The sequence below is a fragment of the Homo sapiens genome, chromosome 7 (assembly GCF_000001405.40).
Source record: "Homo sapiens chromosome 7, GRCh38.p14 Primary Assembly".
Classification (NCBI taxonomy): Eukaryota; Metazoa; Chordata; class Mammalia; order Primates; family Hominidae; genus Homo; species Homo sapiens.
In genome coordinates, this window is record NC_000007.14 from 156571443 (window position 1) to 156590568 (window position 19126).

At 42.9% G+C, this 19126-nt stretch overlaps 1 long non-coding RNA gene across 2 annotated transcripts in view, besides 2 other annotated features; it reads right to left on the reverse strand.

The window, feature by feature from the left end:
• The window catches only part of RNF32-DT (RNF32 divergent transcript), a 168437-nt gene that overhangs the window by 99344 nt on the left and 49967 nt on the right, over nucleotides 1-19126 (reverse strand). The gene's annotated exons all lie outside the window — the stretch shown is intronic.
• Nucleotides 13470-13984: an enhancer, noted in NCBI's record as "OCT4-NANOG hESC enhancer chr7:156377606-156378120 (GRCh37/hg19 assembly coordinates)". NCBI's record gives its function as "activates a minimal SCP1, AML or CMV promoter by ChIP-STARR-seq in primed H9 embryonic stem cells {active_cell/tissue: H9 hESC(primed)}" and the evidence as "EXISTENCE:reporter gene assay evidence [ECO:0000049][PMID:30033119]".
• Nucleotides 13985-14499: an enhancer, noted in NCBI's record as "OCT4-NANOG hESC enhancer chr7:156378121-156378635 (GRCh37/hg19 assembly coordinates)". NCBI's record gives its function as "activates a minimal SCP1, AML or CMV promoter by ChIP-STARR-seq in naive and primed H9 embryonic stem cells {active_cell/tissue: H9 hESC(naive and primed)}" and the evidence as "EXISTENCE:reporter gene assay evidence [ECO:0000049][PMID:30033119]".

A 19126-nucleotide genomic window follows, 5' to 3' on the forward strand; every position in this document is an offset into this window, starting at 1 on the left:
TCCGCGTCTCAGTGGACAGACGGTGCACAATTCTCTATCATTCCTCCCAAGGACGTGAGCACTGATTTGCATGCAGTTAGTTGCCCTCTCACCCAGCAAGATCTGGTTCAACAATGTAATTACTTCAGAACCTAGAACTAATTAAGGTAGAGTTCAAGGTCACAGCCTCATAATCAAGGGATAATTATCTTTGCTGTTTAAATCACATCATTTTGATGACATAAAAGTTACATGGCAAATAAACATCTAATTACATGGCAACTTCAGTGTAATTACTATTAAGTCATCTATCAGATATAAAATCACTACTCAATGTGCTTATTATGATCAGCCTTGCTATTGCCAAAATGTTTCCCATGACTACTATGTCTCGGAAAAGACGCAATTCTAAAATAACACCAAGCATTAAAAAACAGAGTTTGTTTTCTCTTTACCAAATAGGATCCTAAGTCTTTTCATTTGGGTTCAATTCAAGGCACTTCAGAACATCAGAAAAAGAAAAAAAAAAGATACAGTATAGAAAAAAACAGCTAAAGGAACATGAAGAAAAAACAGAAATAAACAAAATCTTCTCAAATCTCATATACTTTCAGATTAAAAGAAAAAAGTCTGAAATCCAAAAGGCAATATAGCAAATGGTTGAAGAAGTGAGGGATCCAGTTGAAGAACTGCTGCTCATGTTTTCAGAATTTCAGGATGCAGAGACTTTTCCATTCCCACCTCAAGGGAGAATAGATGGTCACAAGATTATTACAAGCCTCTCTCGAAATTAATGACAAAGAAAAGCTCAGAGTTCACTATTTCTACATTTTATAAGGAGGCAGACACCTATCTTTCTCACCATGGATTCGTTCTTCCACAAAGTAAGAATAAAACAGCTTCACAAAAAATAACATCACCAATTTCTGGTATTCATGCCCATTTGGACAAGAAATTGAAATTGATGTTTGCTCAGATCGACTGCCTTTATAGGCTCCATTTTGTTGTAATGATTTTCTCTCTATTCTTCATCACTTTTTCCCAAGTGACTTTATATTCTTATTTCTCTAGCCCTGCAAATATTATATATGCTAGTTTTCATTGACTTTGCATTCCAGAAGCTGTGTCTATTTGCCATATATTTGAAGGCCTTTATCATCTCTTCAATTACTCCAAAGCCATTACTGTGCACATAAGAATTAGATTCAAATTTTAAGTCAGTCAATACTGAGAAAATAGGAGTAAACTGGAGTTTACTCAAAATAAGGAGGAGAAAAGGTGAAAGGGTGAAAGAGGTAGGGGGAGAGGGTGGCAAACAGCTGGGGACCACAGGGTAAGGCGAGGCACATAGGAGAAGAGATAAAGCGGCCACACCCAGGCTCACCTCCTCCTCCCAAGGGAGCGGGACCTGGGCGCCCACAGCCTCCTCCCTCTGGGGAAGATGCACACGGCTCAGGGAAGCCCTGTCTTCTCCTCCTCCCTGTGAGTGAGCTTCCCACTTCTCTTTTGAAGAGCAAGCTTGGCTCCAGGAAATCCAGTCCACCAAAGAAGGGGAAGAGACCGGCTGATTGCAAACACCCAAGGATGCCTCCCTGAGTTGTTGAATACCGAGTGCCCGCCACGTACCATGAGCTGTGCAGATCGGATGATGCCTGCCCATCTTACATATTTTCTTTTCCTTTTTGGTCTTTCTCTAAATTCGTGTCGTTTTTCTATTTCGTGTCCAGGTTATCTACGGTTCCTGCGGCAATGGAGGGCAGAGGGCTCGGAGCCTCCTTTGACCTCGGCCTCCTCCCTCACACCCTGTCGGCCAACCTCCCTGTGCCAACGCCGGCCCTGCACCCAGCACACTACTGGCTCTGCGCCCCTAAGAGTTCTCAACCTTTTTCCTACCAAATTCAATCCCCATGTTTCAGTCTTCATTCCTCTGTAGTTCCCCAAGCATCTGAGCTGATGGACACCCCGTTCGTGCGTCCCAAAGTCTCCCCTCCGAGTTTCCATGACACTGAGTCTTCCTGCCTCACTTGCTTCCCCTCCATGATGACCCCGACTCAGTTATGTCCCACCACAATCATCAGAGCCCCGCCAGCATTCCCTCCCCACCTCCCTTTCTCTAGCTCCGTGGGCAGCCTACTCACTCCCCCTACAGCTGCTCTGACCCCTGTTCTTTCTTTACTCCCCTCAAAGCAGCTCAGAGCTCCCGCTGTGTTTCTCTTAGGTCCTCTATATCCTGTGGTTGTTGGGTAGAATGTTCTGTAAGTATCTGTTAAGTCTATTTGTTCTAAGGTATAGTTTAAGTCCATTGTTTCTTTGTTGACTTTGTCTTAATCACCTGTCTAGTGTTGTCAGTGGAGTACTGAAGTCCCTCACTATTATCGTGTTGCCTTCTTTCTCATTTCTTATGTCTAGTAAAATTGTTTTATAAATTTGTGAGCTCCAGTGTTAGGTGCATATATATTTAGGATTGTGATATTTTCCTGTTGGACTGATTCTTTTATCATTTTATAATGTCCCTCTTTGTCTTTTTTAACTGTTGTTGCTTTAAAGTCTGTTTTGTCTAATATAAGAATACCCCTGCTCACGTTTTGTTTCCATTTGCATGGAATATCTTTTTCTACCCCTTTATCTTAAGTTTATGTGAGTCCTTATGTGTTAGGTGAGTTTCTTGCAGACAGAAGATATTTGGTTGGTAGATTTTTATGCATTCTTCCATTCTGTATCTTTTAAGTGGAGCTTTTAATGCAATTCCCATCAACATTCATCATCATTCTTCACAGAACTAGAAAAAATTATAAAATCCATATGGAACCTGCATTTTATCCAAAAAAGACCAAAATCCAAAAAAGACCCTGCATTGCCAAAGCAAGACTAAGCAGAAAGAACAAATCTGGAGGTATCACATTACCTGACTTCAACTATACTACAAAGCTGTAGTTTCCAAAACAGCATGGTACTGGTATAAAAATTGGCATGTAGACCAATGGAACAGAATACTCAAAAATAAAGCCAAATATTTATAGGCAACTGATCTTCAAGAAAGCAAACAAAAACATAAAGTGGAGAAAGGACACCCTATTCAACAAGTGGTGCTGGGATAATTGGCTAGTCACATGTGAAAGAATGAAGCTGAATCCTCATCTCTCACCTTATAGAAAAAATCAACTCAAGACGGATCAAGGACTTTAAGACCTGAAGCCATAAAAACTCTAGAAGATAATATCAGAAAAACCATTCTAGGCATTGGCTTAGGCAAAGAGTTCATGACCAAGAATCCAAAAGCAAATGCAACAAGAACAAAAATAAACAGATGGGACTTAATTAAACTAAAAAGCTTCTGCACAGCAAAGGAAACAATCAGCAGAGTAAGCAGACAACCCACAGAGTGGGAGAAAATATTTGCAAACTATGGATCCAGCAAAGGACTAATATCCAGAATCTATAAGGAACTCAAACAAACCAGCAAGAAAAAAACAAATAATCCTGTCAAAAAGTGGGCAAAGGACATGAACAGACAATTCTTAAAAGAAGATATACAAATGGCCAACAAACATAGGAAAAAATGCTCAACATCGCTAATAATCACAATGCAAATCAAAACCACAATGCAACACCACCTTACTTCTGCAAGAATGGCCATGATCAAAAAATCAAAAAATAACAGATGTTGGCATGGATATGATAAAAAAGGGAACACTTTTACACTGCTGGTGGGAATGTAAACTAGTGCAACTACTGTGGAAGACAGTATGGAGATTCCTTAAAGAACTAAAGGTAGAACTACCACTGGATCCAGCAATCACACTACTGGGTATCTACTCAGAGGAAAATAAGTCACTATATGAAAAGGACACTTATACATGAATGTTTATAGCAGCTCAATTCGCAATTGCAAAAATATGGAACCAGCCTAAATGCCTATTAACTGAGTGGATAAAGAAAATGTGAGATATATATATATATACACACACATATATATATGTATCATGGAATACTACTCAACCATAAAAAGGAAAGAAAGAATGGCATTCACAGCAACCTGGATGGAGTTGGAGATCATTCTTCTAAGAGAAGTAACTCAGGAATGGAAAACCAAACATCATATGTTCTCACTCATAAGTGGGAGCTAAGCTATGAGGATGCAAAGGCATAAGAATGATACCATGGACTTTCAGGACTTAGGGGGAAGGGTGGAAGGGCGTGAAGGATTAAAAAAAAATGCTATGCGAAAAGGTTCCCAGGAACAATTTGGGACAATTTGAAATTAACAAAACTAGATGGAAATACATTGAGTATGTTTAAATAAAAAAATTAATAAATTGGTTAATTTTATGTTATGCAAACCTTCAATAAATTTACTTTTAGTTTTTAGAAAATTCCCTTTAGGAGCAAAACATCACAAAATGCAACATGAAAGGGAAAACGAAAAAGGAAAGGGGTAGTTTCATAACTTTGCATTCATGTAAATTGTATTAGGGCAGTGAGAAGAGCTTATAAATGGCTTCCATACAAATATGACTCGGACCTTTTTAGCCCCTCCTGGGATCCATCTTCCCCTCCCCATCAGGACACATTCTCCCTGAAGCAAAGGAACGTATCATTCCCCGGGTCCTTCCAAGACTCCAAGAGAGTCCCAGCAATTTGTCTTCATAATTTTATGTCCTTTTACTTAAAAGCATTCCCAAAATCGTATAAGCTTCTGGCTTCCCCAGAACTTTCTAGACCCATCCTGCTGAGTCCTCTCCAGCCCTGAGTGAGAGGTGCTGCCCAGGCACTGAGCCAGCTGCTTCCATTAGGGAGTAGCGACTGAAGCCAACGCCAGCCACTAAAGGAATATCCTTCTCTAGGACCAAGAAAGATTTCTCAAGTTGCCAATAAGACCAATCTGCTTTCTGTTTTCAAAACTCATATGTTTTATTTTGCTTTGATTTCTGGTTTATCTAAGCAAATGAGAGACTCCTGTGTCTCAAGCATTGCCACCTGGGGGACATAGATGATGCAATCCCCTCCGTTAATTAATACATCCCAAATCTGGCTATCAAACAAGATGTTCGCCAGAGCTTTGTCCCCTCCAAATAGGAAGATGGCATTGAGCTTCCAAGCAAATAACCCAAGTCCCTAACCGGGTCCTAGAGTCCACCCTTCCCCTTCCCCCTGGGCTCACTCTGGTCACACCCACCACACACCAACCGCACGCGTTGCTCTTGAATTGCTCTTGAATTTGAGGTTTGCTCCTGTCTCGCACCTTTGCAGTTGGTTTCCCCTCCACCTGGAAGGTGCTCCCCAAAATATCCACGCGGAATTCCCTTTCCTCTTCAGGTCTTTCTCCCATGCTTCTCCCCGGTTACTCGCTCTGAAACTGCACTCTACACCGTTACTTTCTATTCCCTTCCAAGTTGATTTTCCTCCCTAACCTTCATTAATCACCCAGGACAGGCCGCACGTTCTGCCAACACCTCCTGCTGTCTGTCTTCCCCACCTGACTGTCCACTCTGCGGGGGCAGGAATGTGGGCGTTTTAAAATACCACCACATCTCTGAGGTGCAGACCACTGCCTGGTGTGTGATGGGTGTCAGTGAGCATCTGTCTGGGGAGGTGAGGGTCGGTTAATTAATCATGCAATGAGGGACGGGCTAAGGAGATGAGCCGCTCAGACAGAACATAGCATAGCAAGGCACACGCTGCGCTTCTCATACAGGTAGCACCATCCTACAACACAAAACAATTCAATGCAAGGGGAAAAAGTAAAGTCAAAAGTAATTCATTCATATTTGTTTAATTGTGGCATATTTATACCACCGAGGACTATTCAGCAATAAACAGGAACGAACTACTGATGTATATGACCGTGGGGATCAATTTCAAATGCGTTACTGGGTGGAAGAAGTCAGACCCAAGAGAGTCTATGCTGTCCATCAACTCCAGGAACAGGCAACATTCACCCATGGTGACAGAATTCAGAAAGTGGTTGCCTGATTTGGGAGCAGGAAATGAGGAATGACTAAAGAGGGTCATGAGGGAACTTTTCTGGGATGATAAAAAGGTTCTGCATTTTGTTTGGGGCAGGGCTACATGGATATGTGTGTGTTAAGACTCAAATTGAGCACCTCAGATCTCCGCATCTTATTGAATGTAAAATGATCTCAATTATAAATACATACAAGTATACACACACACCATGAATCATTCATCTTAGAATTTGGGCCTCTCCACTTACCACATTCTGGAAGGCGCTGACTGAGGGAGATTAAATAAAAGGGGAAGGCACCATAAAACCCAGTTCCTAACCTTTATGCTATCTCTCTGTTTCATAACTGGACAAATCACTTTAACTTCTCTGTGTTGTTTTATTTTGTTTTTTCCTTAAAGTCAGGGTCTTGCTCTTTGCCCAGGCTGGAGTGCAGTGATGCAATCATGCCTCATTGCAACCTCGAACTCCTGGGTTCAAGTGATCCTCCTGCCTCAGCCTCCCGAGTAGCTGGGACCACAGGCGCGCACTTCCACACCCAGCTTGTTTTCTTAATTTCCAGAGTTGTCAGTAGAGACAGCAATGCCTGCTTAGTTGTTTTACAGAGCTAAAACCTCTATGAGATGCAAGCAGCTGTGAGCAGGCAATCCTCCAAGCTCATCTTCCTTATTAATAAGGCCGTCTTACAGTCCTCACACTTAAAGAACTAAGCCCCTTGGACAGAGGCCAAGACAGACATGCCTTTGTCAATTGTCCCCTTTGGTGACTGCTCCACATTGAGCTGCCAATGGGGTAATAATAGAACATCAGATTTGTAGGAAGAGCTGTCTGCATTATCTAACTTACCAAAGACGAAATGTCAGAAAAGGGGGAATTCATAACAAAAAAAAAAGCATCTCTCCAAATGACAATGAAGGTCAGAAGTATTTTTTATGCATCTCAATGCACTCAGTCTTCATGATGTTCAGAAGCTGCGGAATCGGGAACAAGCGGTCCTGCTCCTGCGGCCCCTGCTTTGCTCCTCCTCCTCTGAGGCGCTGAGGACATCCTCTGGCCCAGACCTAATTTCTTTTTCTTTAGAACACCTGCCAGGGAGGAAAAGGAGGGCATGCATCCATTCTGAGCATTTTCTCCTCCCAGCCTGATATTCACCTGACAGCCCGACCTGTGCCTGACACTGCTTCGGCAGCGTTCTACAGGAGAAATACGACTGGTCAGAGACAGACCCCTGGCTTCGCCGTGATCCGCCACCACCACGCACGCCAAGCAGCCCTGGGTGTCCTCGGGGGGCAGTGCTGCATGCTGGCCAGCAGGGCGGACGCTGGCTGCCATCCCGGCTGACCCACGGCCACCCGAGTGACCTTGGAGTCACTCGCCCTCTCTGTGCCTCAGGCTCTCCACCTGCAAGCTGGGTACACATCTCATCCATGGTGACTACACGGTATGACACACACAAAGTGCCTAAAACAGCGCTGGACCCTTCGCTTCTGTGCTGAAGGGGCACGGAGCGCTGAGGGGGCCGAGGACATACCCGCGCTGGCCGCCACGCAGTGTGTGTACCCTAGAGACGTGTGACGCCCCAGGACCGGAGTTCACAGCCTGGGCTCAGGGGGTCTGAACACCAAGGTCACCAGTAACTGGGGAGCAGATGCATCTGTGCATCTTCCTCACAGGAGGCTCCACAGCCTTTGCAAATGGGCACTGACTCCAAAAGCAATTCAACTCAGCAAAGGCTGTGAGTCCCACAACGCGTCAGACACTGCTAAGCCCAGAGGGCGTGATGACAATGGTGAATGAGACCAAAACAGACAAGCAATTGAGTCCTCATGATCACAGCTGGGTTAGGGAAGCCCGGGGAGGTGGTGGGGGGGCGGGGGGGAGTGGGGACAAACACAAGGGCAGCTGCCCTACGGAGAAAGAAAAGACCCAGGAAGACCTGGAGGAGGCGGCGTTTACCTTGGGATCTGAAGGATGCCAAGAATCTGCTCCCCTGCTTGCTAGAGGAAGAAGGGTCCAGTCTGAGAACAACACACATGAAGACCCAGAGGTGAGAGCCGCCCAGAGACTGAGAAATGGAAGATAGTTCCATGACAGGAAACGGCCAAACACAAAAGTGGAGGGTTCCGTGGAGGCAGAGCCCAAGAGCTGTGAGCATTCGGTGTGCCAGGGAGATTCTGAAGGGTTTTAAGGAAAGAAAAGACACAGCCCGGTTTTTTGGAGGGGGATCTCTGTGCCTGCAGGGTGAGGAAGGGTTACGAGGGGCCAGCTGGGCAGCCACCATGTGAGAGGGGATAGGCCAAGGCAATGGGGATGAGAGGGACTTGTGACAAGTTCAGAGGCGAGTCCATGGGGTGGTGGTGTGTCTGTGAGTGGTGGGGGGAGGGGCGGCAGGCGAGAAAGCAAGTGTGATTCCTGAATTTCTGCGGGAAAGCCAGAGGGATGAGGTGTCATGCCTGGGTGAAAATGACTTGTAGAAGTTGAAGTGCCTTGAAAACATTCAAGTGCAGGTGACCAGAGGCAGGTGGGGAGAGAGCTCCGCTAGACATACAGATTTTGGAGACTTGGCGTATGTTAACATCAGGGTGGTGGGGTGAGCTCACAAACAAGGAAGTGCATAAAGAGAAAAGGGAAGAAGGTCTGGAACAAAACCCTGAACAATCAGAATGTTCCAGGTAGGACCCAAAACAAAGACCCCACAAAGGACCCTTGGACAAGGACAGCCAGAGGATGGGGGAGGAAATCAGAGGCGTGTCATCGACGCACAGGAAGAGCATTTCACAAGCATCTCTACCATGCAACACTGGACAAACATTTTGAAAAACAGGTAACATGACCTGAAAAGAGGTCCACAAAATACTGGATTTAAAAAGATTGCATAAGGCTGGGCACGGTGGCTCATGCCTGTAATCCCAGCACTTTGGGAAGCCAAGGTGGGTGGATCGCTTGAGCCCAGGAGTTCAAGACCAGGCTGGCCAACGTGGTGAACCCCATCTCTACAAAAAGTACACAAATTAGCCGACGTGGTGGCACATGCCTGTCATCTCAGCTACTGGAGTGGCTGAGGCACGAGAATTACTTGAACCCCGGAGGCAGAGGTTGCAGTGAGCCGAGATTGCACCACTGCACTCCAGCCTAGATGAAGCAAGATTCTGTCTCAAAGGCAAAAAAAAAAAAAAAAAAAAAGATAGCATAGTATGATCTACTTTTGTAAAACCAGAATCAAAGCTATATGATAACACATGTTGAACCCTTTCAACATGCCAAGCCTTCTTCAATAGGCTTTACGTATATTAACACACTGAATTTTCACAATAGCCCTACGAAATGAGTATGATTTTTCATCATCACTTTACAAATGGGGAAACTAAGGCCCAGACGCATCAAATGTAGTTCCCAAGGCTACAGCTGGTACGTGGTGAGGGATGGGTGTCAGCCATAAGCAATACATGTAGCTGGACAGAGGATTCACTGAAAGAAACATCAGGGGGTGTTTTGAAGAAAGTGAAATGAGTTTGAGATGCTGCAGCATGTGCAGTGATGTCCAGGAGGTAACCACAGATGTGAGCGGCAAGCTCAAGACAGTCAAAATCCAAAATGCAGACGTGGCATGTTGTAGTCCATGAGCAGTAGCTGTGGACAGAGGAAGAGAGGAGCTGGGGGCCGGACGTGGTGAAGCATCTGTGGGAGACGGGAAGGAAGGCAATGCTTTGTGGAAGTTTGGCCATCGAGAGAGTGTTGCAGCTGGAGGGGCCTCAGGTGGAGAGAGGAAGGCGCATCTACCCAGCACACCTGTGTAGATGGAAGAAAGGAAGAAAGACCAGAAGGCAGAAAGCCTCAGGCAGGGCGAGGATGGAGGCAGACAGATGAGGCCCTGGGGTGGCGTGGGAGCACCTCGGCATGGGCTCCTCCAACATTAGGAGGGAGTCCAGGGGAACATGGCAAAGGTGAAAAAATGATAGAAAATCAGAAAGTGAGGAAGAAATTAATGCCGTTTTATGATAGTCTCAACAGAAGAAATTAAACTCGATGAAATGTGAATACTCACACATGACAATGCCCAACAGAGGCTGAGAAAAAGCCAGTTTCGTGTTGCCATAACACAAAATGTTTCTTGTAACTCCATCTTTGAATTGTAAAGTTACATAATCATCCAAATATAGTATACTTTATTTGTAAAAAGGAGTATTTCCTTACACAGTCTCTGCATACTGTTTCTTGATACTGTGTGCCATCTTGATGCTTTATCTCCATTAAACTCTAGACTTAGGTTCATCCATCAGAAAGGTAAGACGTGGAGCCAAACAGATAGATAGCTGTGTGCACAACTGCACTCTGCGGGGCCCAAAGACCATGCCCACATATAGTTAACTGAAAGTGTGGAACTTTAGTGTGCTTGTGTGTTTGTTTGTTTTGAGAAGAATTTTCACTCTCGTAGCCCAGGCTGGAGTGCAGTGGCGTGATCTCAGCTCACCACAACCTCTGCCTCCGAGGTTCAAGCGATTCTCCTGCCTCAGCCTCCCGAGTAGCTGGGATTACAGACATGTGCTACCACGTCCGGCTAATTTTGTATCTTCAGTAGACACGGGGTTTCTCCATGTTGGTCAGGCTGGTCTCAAACTCCTGACCTCAGGTGATCCGCCCACCTCGGCCACCCAAAGTGCTGGGATTACAAGCCTGAGCCACCACGCCCAGCTGGAACTTTAGTATTAATGTAAAGAGAGAGAGAGAGAGAGAGAGAGAGAGACGGAGAGAGAGAGAGAGAGAGAGAGAGGGGGAGAGAGAGAGAGAGAGAGAGAGAGAGAGAGAGAGAGAGAGAGCTCACTGGTATTTCACTAAGTAATGCTCTATAAATAATGATAATATTTTAATCTTTTACAAACTTATAAAGCCTACACATTTCTAAGTCCTGCTGCCTCTCCCTGTGTCACGCAGCATCTTCACCCATTTTAACCACATCATGACAGTCTAGGTGAATATCCTGCATTTCTAAGAACCAAGATAATATCAAGATTTTGTCTTGGTAACCACCATTCTTCTGCTTCTATGAGTTCAACTTTTTTAGATTCCGCATCTAAGTGAGAATATGCAGAATTGTCCTTCTTCTGTACCTGGCTTATTCTACTCCATGTCCTCCAAGTTCACCCAGGTTGTCATAAATGACAGAATTTCCTTCTTTTCATGGCTGAATAATATTCCATTTTGTGTGTATATATGTGTGTACACACACACGCACATATGTGTGTATATCTCTCTCACACACATCTTTTTTATCTGCTGATGGACGCATAGGTCACGTCCATATCTTGGCTACTGTGAACCGTGCTGCAATGAACATGGAAGCCCTAGGCCCAGGCCGCTGCTTTTCCAAATTTTTACATAAGGCGGCTCCCAGGAAAATACCTCAGCAGGCGTGCTTTGTAGCAAGCACAGAATTTTGAAGATTCATATCGAATGCCCTTAGATGGTGCGTGGACTCTCCACTTCTACACAAGCCTTGCCATTCTCCATTGCCTCACAGCCAGCTCACTCACGGGCACCACCTGCTGGGCCCCGTGGGTTTTTAGTTTGTGACTTGGGGTGCAGGAATGAGATGGAATGGGGTAAGACACACAAACAGACACACATACACACACACAGTCCTTGAATTCACAGATATACATTTGAGTTTAGCTCTCCTACTTATTTTCTTTTTTTTTTTTTTTTTTGTGGCACAGTCTTGCTCTGTCACCCAGGCTGGAGTGGTGCAGTGGCGTGATCTTGGTTCACTGCAACCTCTGCCGCCCAGGTTCAAGTGATTCTTCTGCCTCAGCCTCCCAAGTAACTGGGATTACAGGTGCATGCCACCACCACACCTGGCTAATTTTTGTATTTTTAGTAGAGATGGGGTTTCACCATGCTGGCCAGGCTGGTCTCGAACTCCTAACCTCAGGTGATCCACCCACCTCAGCCTCCCAAAGTGCTGGGATTACAGGCATGAGCCACCGCACCCAGCTTCTCCTACTTATTTTCTACAGAAGACTTCCTGGTGAGCATCTTCAGTAATTCTCAGGCTCCTCATCTGTGGGAACAATAACATCTTGCCAACCCAATCCACAGAAACATTCAACTGTGTTACACCTCACAGAATTGGTGTAAAAAGCAAAATTAAATGACAATGCTTATAAACTATTTTAAAAATTATTCAGTGCTGAGGATTGTCACTTCCAAAGGTCAAGAGCCAGAAAGGACGTTGCAAACTAGCCATGAGTTGGAGGCAGAAGCAAGTGCCCCACCTCTAGCTGCAGGGTAAGTCCACACACACATGGAAGAGGGAAAATGAAAAGTTGCCTTTCAAACGTCTCTTATTAGCAGCCTGGTCACAGGTTAGTGGCAAAGTGTACAGCGGTTAAACTAATTTTTACTGCACTGATGTACCGTTTTGAAAATCAGAAGCACAAGTAAAACATCTTGTTTTTTCTTCTGATTTTTCAAAACCTCCAGATCCCTATTATTTCAATCTGGAGTATTTGCAGTAAAACACAAATGCTAACAGTAACAAGAGCAAACGACATGACCACACTTGACAATGCCAAAGCCATGTTCCCAGTGCTCTGCTTCACAGGGATCACTTACTATGAGGATATTTTTCTGGAAGGGTGAAATGGAATTCAACCACACAACCCCTAATAACACTAATAGAAACCACACTGCACGCGCAGCACATTTCTGATAGTCTACCAAATGGATATCAGATTTTGTGGTGACATCAGTGGCTGGCACACGGGCTGAAACACTTGCTAGTAAGCAAAGAAAAGTTTGTTTCTGAAAATCTCACCTGTATCCTCTGGTGACAACGTGAGTCAGGCTGAGGTGAATTTGAAAATTACACCTGCTACATAAGCAAACGCGTCCTCAGAGCTCATTCTGGATAAATCAATAAATTCTGCCGACCTCCTCTGTGGGAAGTCACTCCGTACTGTTAAATTTTGCAAACAGTATTTTCCTTCCTGGTATTTATTCCATCTTAATTAAAAATGGTTCGTACAGTTTTGTAAGTAAAGTCTGTCTCCTCCACTGTAATCTAAGTCCCATGGGGGTGAGGGCCATTTCTTTCTTATTCATCTTCATATCGTCCAGAGCCAAGGGCACAAATCTCTGTTGACCAAAAACACAGGTATGCTGAGTTTTTTGGGTGGGGGGGTCGGGGGTGCCAAATTTAAAGGGGTATAAGTCAGCTCCCCGTCATCAGGAGTTCACAAACCCAATCGACTAATGAGACATCACAAACGGAAGACAATTTACAGCATAGATTAAGCGTAAGACAAATGACAAATGATTTAGATTATAATCCCAAAAGACATGCTATACATATTACTACAATATATATCTTTGTGCAGAAAGCCTTATTCTGTAAAATTATATTCTTAAGTGATACTCCCAGAGCTGGAATGATGTGGTAGTATTTTATAGAAAAATAATATTGACACCCTTTTTCTGCAAAAATTAATTTTAAAAATGGTAATATTTGTGATAGTTTAACAAACTTCCTAGCTTAAAGCTTTTGAAAATATTTTAAAAGAAAAATTATTAAAGTGTGTGTAAAACAAAGATGAGGAACTTTAAAACAATTCCTTAACCACTTACTAATCGTTATTACTCCAATATGGAAAAAGCTTAGATCTCCCTCTTGTCCTTAACACAAGGAAAAGACTGAACAACCTGAAAATCAAGGACCTTTTTTGTATCCATTGAAGAATTGAGGTCATAGGGAAAACCGCTGCTCTGAAAACCAGAGAGACAATACACGGAGGATCACTGCTGGAGTCAGCTGAGCCGGGGCTGCAGGGCAGGAGCCCCAAGCTGGCAGGAATATTAGATGGTGATTTGGATGAACTGCTGGAGGCTGCACATAGCCCAGCCTGAGAGTGAGAAATTCCTGGGGCCCAACCTTAGGGGGGGCCCACACTCTCGTGGTTTTACCTCCAGGAACCCCACCAGGTTCTCAAATAAAGAGCCAAGAAAAAAATCCCTTGTATTTTAGGCAGGGAGAAGGGAAAGTAATCATTTTAAAGGACACCCAGGGCATTCTCCATCACAAAGACCTCCTCTGCAGGGAAAAGACTTTACCAGGGACTAATCTCACCTACCACCTGCAGGGAGGACAACTACCCATCTCCAGCCCCCTCTGGCTCCCTTTGTCACCGAAGGAAAATAATATAGGGCAGCGGCTCTGATCTACTTAAAGAAAGGAAGAGCATCACAGAAGGAATACATGAAAGGAAAATATTTTTTATGCTTAATCTTTTCTTATCAGTAACTATTTTTTCATTGTAACAATGGTAATAACGTATTGGTTGATTATAGTATATGGATAAGTAAAATGAATGACAGCAACATTATAAGAGATGGGCAGAAGGGATTGGGAATATTTTGTTATAAGTTACCTACCTGCACTCTCGTGAACTGCATATTGTTATTTGAAAGTGAACTTAAAGTAGTTGTAAATGTATATTGCAAACTATGGGGTAACCACTAAGAAAATATTTAGATATAATTATAACTGATAAGCCAAAAGAAGAGAGAAGGAGAGATCATATAAAATGCTTAATTAAAGCCAGAGAACTCAGTAAAAGAGGGGAAGGGGAAAAGTTCAACACACAGAAAACAGTTACAAACATGGTAAATATTAATCCAGCTAGATCAAAAATCACTTTAAATGTAAATGGTCTAAATACACCAATTAAAAGGCAGAGATTGTCAGCGTGGATTAAAAAAATCAAGACTCAAGTAAATGTCTACAAATATGATCATGCTTTCTGTCTTCCTGGCTGATCACAGTACTCCTGCCAAACTTGAAGCTCTGCAAAGATGAAACCTAATTTGCTTCAGCATTTTTCAGCATAGGGTTGTTTTCATTAGTATTTGTATTACTATAGAAATGATAGAAATAATAATATCCACCACTGATTAAGCACCTACTGTATGCTAGGCATTGTGATCTCAATACATAGGAGGTCCTTAATGATCACTTGATGAATGGATGGATAAACTAATAAACCAATTAATAAAAACTCTAAGCATGCTGAATTTTGTCTTCACCTACATCTATGCCCAGCTTTCTTTTAATGAGTGACTACCATACAGCCAGGTCTGGTTTATATAAGCTGCAAAGGGAGAGGAAAAAGCATAGATTTTAATCTAATATTAAATTCTCCATGAAGAAATTGTCTCTAGTTATCAGTAAATTCATCTTTCACTGCCTTGCCATTCACCAACCCTTCTAAGGACTGGTCTGTCTGCTTTTTCTGTCCTTGTTCACAGTGATGGAAAATAGGAAATGCATAAAAGTACACACCCCACTGCTTCACAAATTGGGTTATCACTAACAGAGAATCGTATGCTCTATGAAGGAAAGTCCTAAAAGTAATCTAATCTACAGGGACCCAATCTTCACTCCCAAAAATCATGACACGCAGAATCTGGAACTTTGGCACCAAGTTTGAGGAAGGACCTGGATATATGGAACCACATCAACCTGGAAGCCCAGAGTGTAACAGTTACCAGGTCAGGACGACCACATGGGCGCTGGCCTGAGCACCAGGAAATCCAGGTTGCAGATATGAGCTGGTAATTCTTATGCACAATTATGCACAATTCCCCAATTCTCTGGCCTCAGTTTCATCGTCTATAAAGTGAGCAGACATACCCTAAGTAATCTCTCATATCCTCTCCAAATTCAAAGTTCTAGATTGATGAAAACAATAATTATTGAATCTATATATATAACTCTGTTGTGCGATTCAATCCTATATGAGAGTGTGAACACAGAGACAATATAAAATACAGCAAGTTCCCATTGCCTTCATTAATATTGTTTCATAATTTGAAAGCCAAATGGTATTTATCAAACGTAAACACAAGGTACATAAAACTAGTCTCATTCCACACCACGTCTGTTACCTCTCTTCACTCCTAAACTTACTTAAACTTCAATTAACACCATGTTTCCTCACAACCAGCCAGCTTTCGAACTTCTCCACACACTAGTCCAGAGCTCCTGACTCTTGATTATTCTGTCTTAAAGCCAAAAATCCTACCACATCGCAATAAATGAACAGTAATCAATACTATATAGTGTCCATCAAGGGTATGTCAGGCACTGTGCTCAGTGGTTCCTACGTTATCTATTCCATCCTCATTGCAAATCCATGAAGTAGGTCCTACCCATATTCAACCCACAGAGAAGCTGAGTCTCTGGGAGATTAGGTGACTTGGTCCAGGCCATAGGTCTAGCAGGTTTTAGAACCAAAAGTCAAACTTAACTCTTCCTGAGTTCCTAGCCATGTTCTTGCCATTTTATCAGTTTTTAAATATCTTTAGTAGCAGAACGCTCTTTGGAGTAAAAATATGTACACAGAACTCCAACATACAAAACAAAAGTGATAGTATATTGGAAGTGGAAACATATAAACGAACACACTATTATAAAGGAAATATTTTCCTATTATAAAGGAAATCAATGAAAAACACAACAAATGCTGATAAACACAGAAACCAGGAGTTGCTCATGACATCTGCAGATATTTCACCAGCCTCTGCATCCTGCTTCCTTTGGTATTCTGTTTGAGTTGCACATTGCCCTACATAGTTGAAAATAACCATGGGTTTTTAACATTTCACCTTGCAATCTGGCTATTCTTCAATCAAATTGACCCAGACATTTGCAACAAGAGTAGGAAACTATAAAAATATGTAAAGCAACCCCAGGCGTACAATATCTACCATATGTAGCAAAAATATAAGGGCACGATGGCCAGATGCATATTCACTTGTTACCATACAAATGACTGATAAGCTGTCACTAGATCAAATGTCAAGTAAACGTGAAAGCTTGTGTGGCCATTCATTGAGCCAGTATTGCCACTATAAATACACACACACACACACACACACACATACATACACATCTATACACACATATATGTAATGCTTTGGAAACACTGTCTTTTACAGACTTTGACATAAGTGAGAATCACAAGCCTAAATTCCAAGAAAGATCATTATAGAGATAAAACTTTTAAATTAATAATGGATTAGAAGAAGTTCAAATATTGACCCCAAAATGACAGGATTATCTTCATTTCAAAGTCTTCCCCAAAGAAATTAATCTAGAAGCACAAAGTAATGTCTTAATGGCTTGTTATTTTCCAGTGTGTTAAAATGTAGCATACACTGCAATTCGAGGATGTTATTGTTATCACTACCTTTACAAATAGTTTAAATTATCTATGAATATACATATTCATAAACACTATACTAATGCACATGGTTTGGTCCTGTGGTGCTGAGTCCTGCCTGGGCATGCAGAGGAAGTTTTCTAGTACAGAACGCCCAGTCCAGGCTGGGCATGGTGGCTCACACCTGTAATCCCAGCACTTTGGGAGGCTGAGGTGGGAGGATCTCTTGAGGTCAGAAGTTCAAGACCAGCCTAGCCAACATGGTGAAACCCTGTCTCTACTAAAAATACAAAAATTAGCCAGGCATGGTGGCGCACGCCTATAGTCCCAGCTATTCGGGAGGCTGAGACAGGAGAATCACTTCAACACTGGAGGTAGAGGTTGGAGTGAGCCGAGATCACGCCACTGCACTCCAGCCTGGGAGAGAGAGCGAGACTCCTTCTCAAAAAACAAAAAACAAAACAAAACAAAAAAACACAAAAAAACCCCAGCATATTATTTTTTTTAAAAAAAGACTGCCCAGTCAGACTCTCTGAATGAAATGAGTTCTTAAATGGAGCCGACCACCTGGTTTCATTAGTTGTCCCTTCTTGTTAGGAAAGTGCCAAGTCACCTTGCACTGGGCATTTTCTAAGTGATCCCATTTGAGGTGCAGCTTTAAACTGATATTTTGCAGGCTAGCAGTCACCTACCCAATGTCAAACGTAAAACAGTAGAAGGATTGGTGTCAAGAATTTTCTTAACTAATGTAGTGTTTGGGTGCTGAGGAATTTATTAACAAAACTATTAATGCTTGAAATGTTTTTGTCAAGTTTTGCAAAAATGTCACAAATGTTTAAGATGCCATCCACACAGGCTATCTGCCAGGAAAAAGCAAACCCATTACATAGGACTTGATGGAATATTTATAAGATCCAATTTCGAACAGATCCAGGCACTCGGCCAAAGTGCAAGATAGATGCTTCATTTTTAGAATTTAAGCTTCTAATGAAATTCAACAAAACAGAAAAGAAAGAGAATTCAAATAATTTTCAGTGCCCAATATTTTTCTTGAGATTGTTCAATATACTCAGAGATATAGTTTTATGTAGTTATCCATTTATCCCAAAGAATTCCTGAGATATCTTCAAAATTTAGTTATGCTGCAAAAAAAAAAAAAAGTGGTCTTTCATGGATATTCAGTTTAATCAACTTATTAAAGAAAGCAGAGACACTACATGAAAGACCAACAAACTAAAAAAGGATCCCTGGAAAGAAAGAGTGAAATTATTGGATAAAGTTACGGTAGACAGATACTGTAAATGTTATAACCCTAAGTTGCCCAGTGAGGAGGAGAATCTCTAGCAGCTGAGCTCTCTAGCCTCATCCTCCTCTGGAAAGACTGATGCGCTGTGCTGGAGATGGCTCACCCCCCAGTGGTAGCTTATGCCTAAAAGAATAGAAAAGAATGCTCATGCCAAGAATTTTGCTACAGTTCAACATTTCATTGGGGAAAAGTATAATTGAATGAATCACATGAACTAATTTTTTAAAGTCCAGACTCACTCCAGGCCACTTAAAGGGGTGTCATTTACTTAAAACAAAAATTGTGCTTGAACATCAGTCCTGGTGAGATTGAATTTTGTGGCCTGTTTCCAAGAATATGGGGGCCTGGATTGATGCAGCCAGTGCCTCTCCCACTGCCGTCACACAGAAAAACTAGTTCAAAATCAACATTTTTAAAAGACACAGCTGAGCTCAAGAGAAAGAGCAGAAAGCCCCAGAGGTCAAGGGTGAAAGAAGCAGCAGGCGGCACATGGGTGACCCAAGGCCTCGGGCAGGAGACTGGACCCGGCAGTCCAGCTCACACAGCTTCCGGATGTGCAGCCTGTGCCCACAGCAGGGAGACTGGCTGAGCTCTGCAGATGATGTGCAAAGCCACAAGGCCACGTATCAATGGATGGGGCAGGGTAAAGATGCTTGCTTT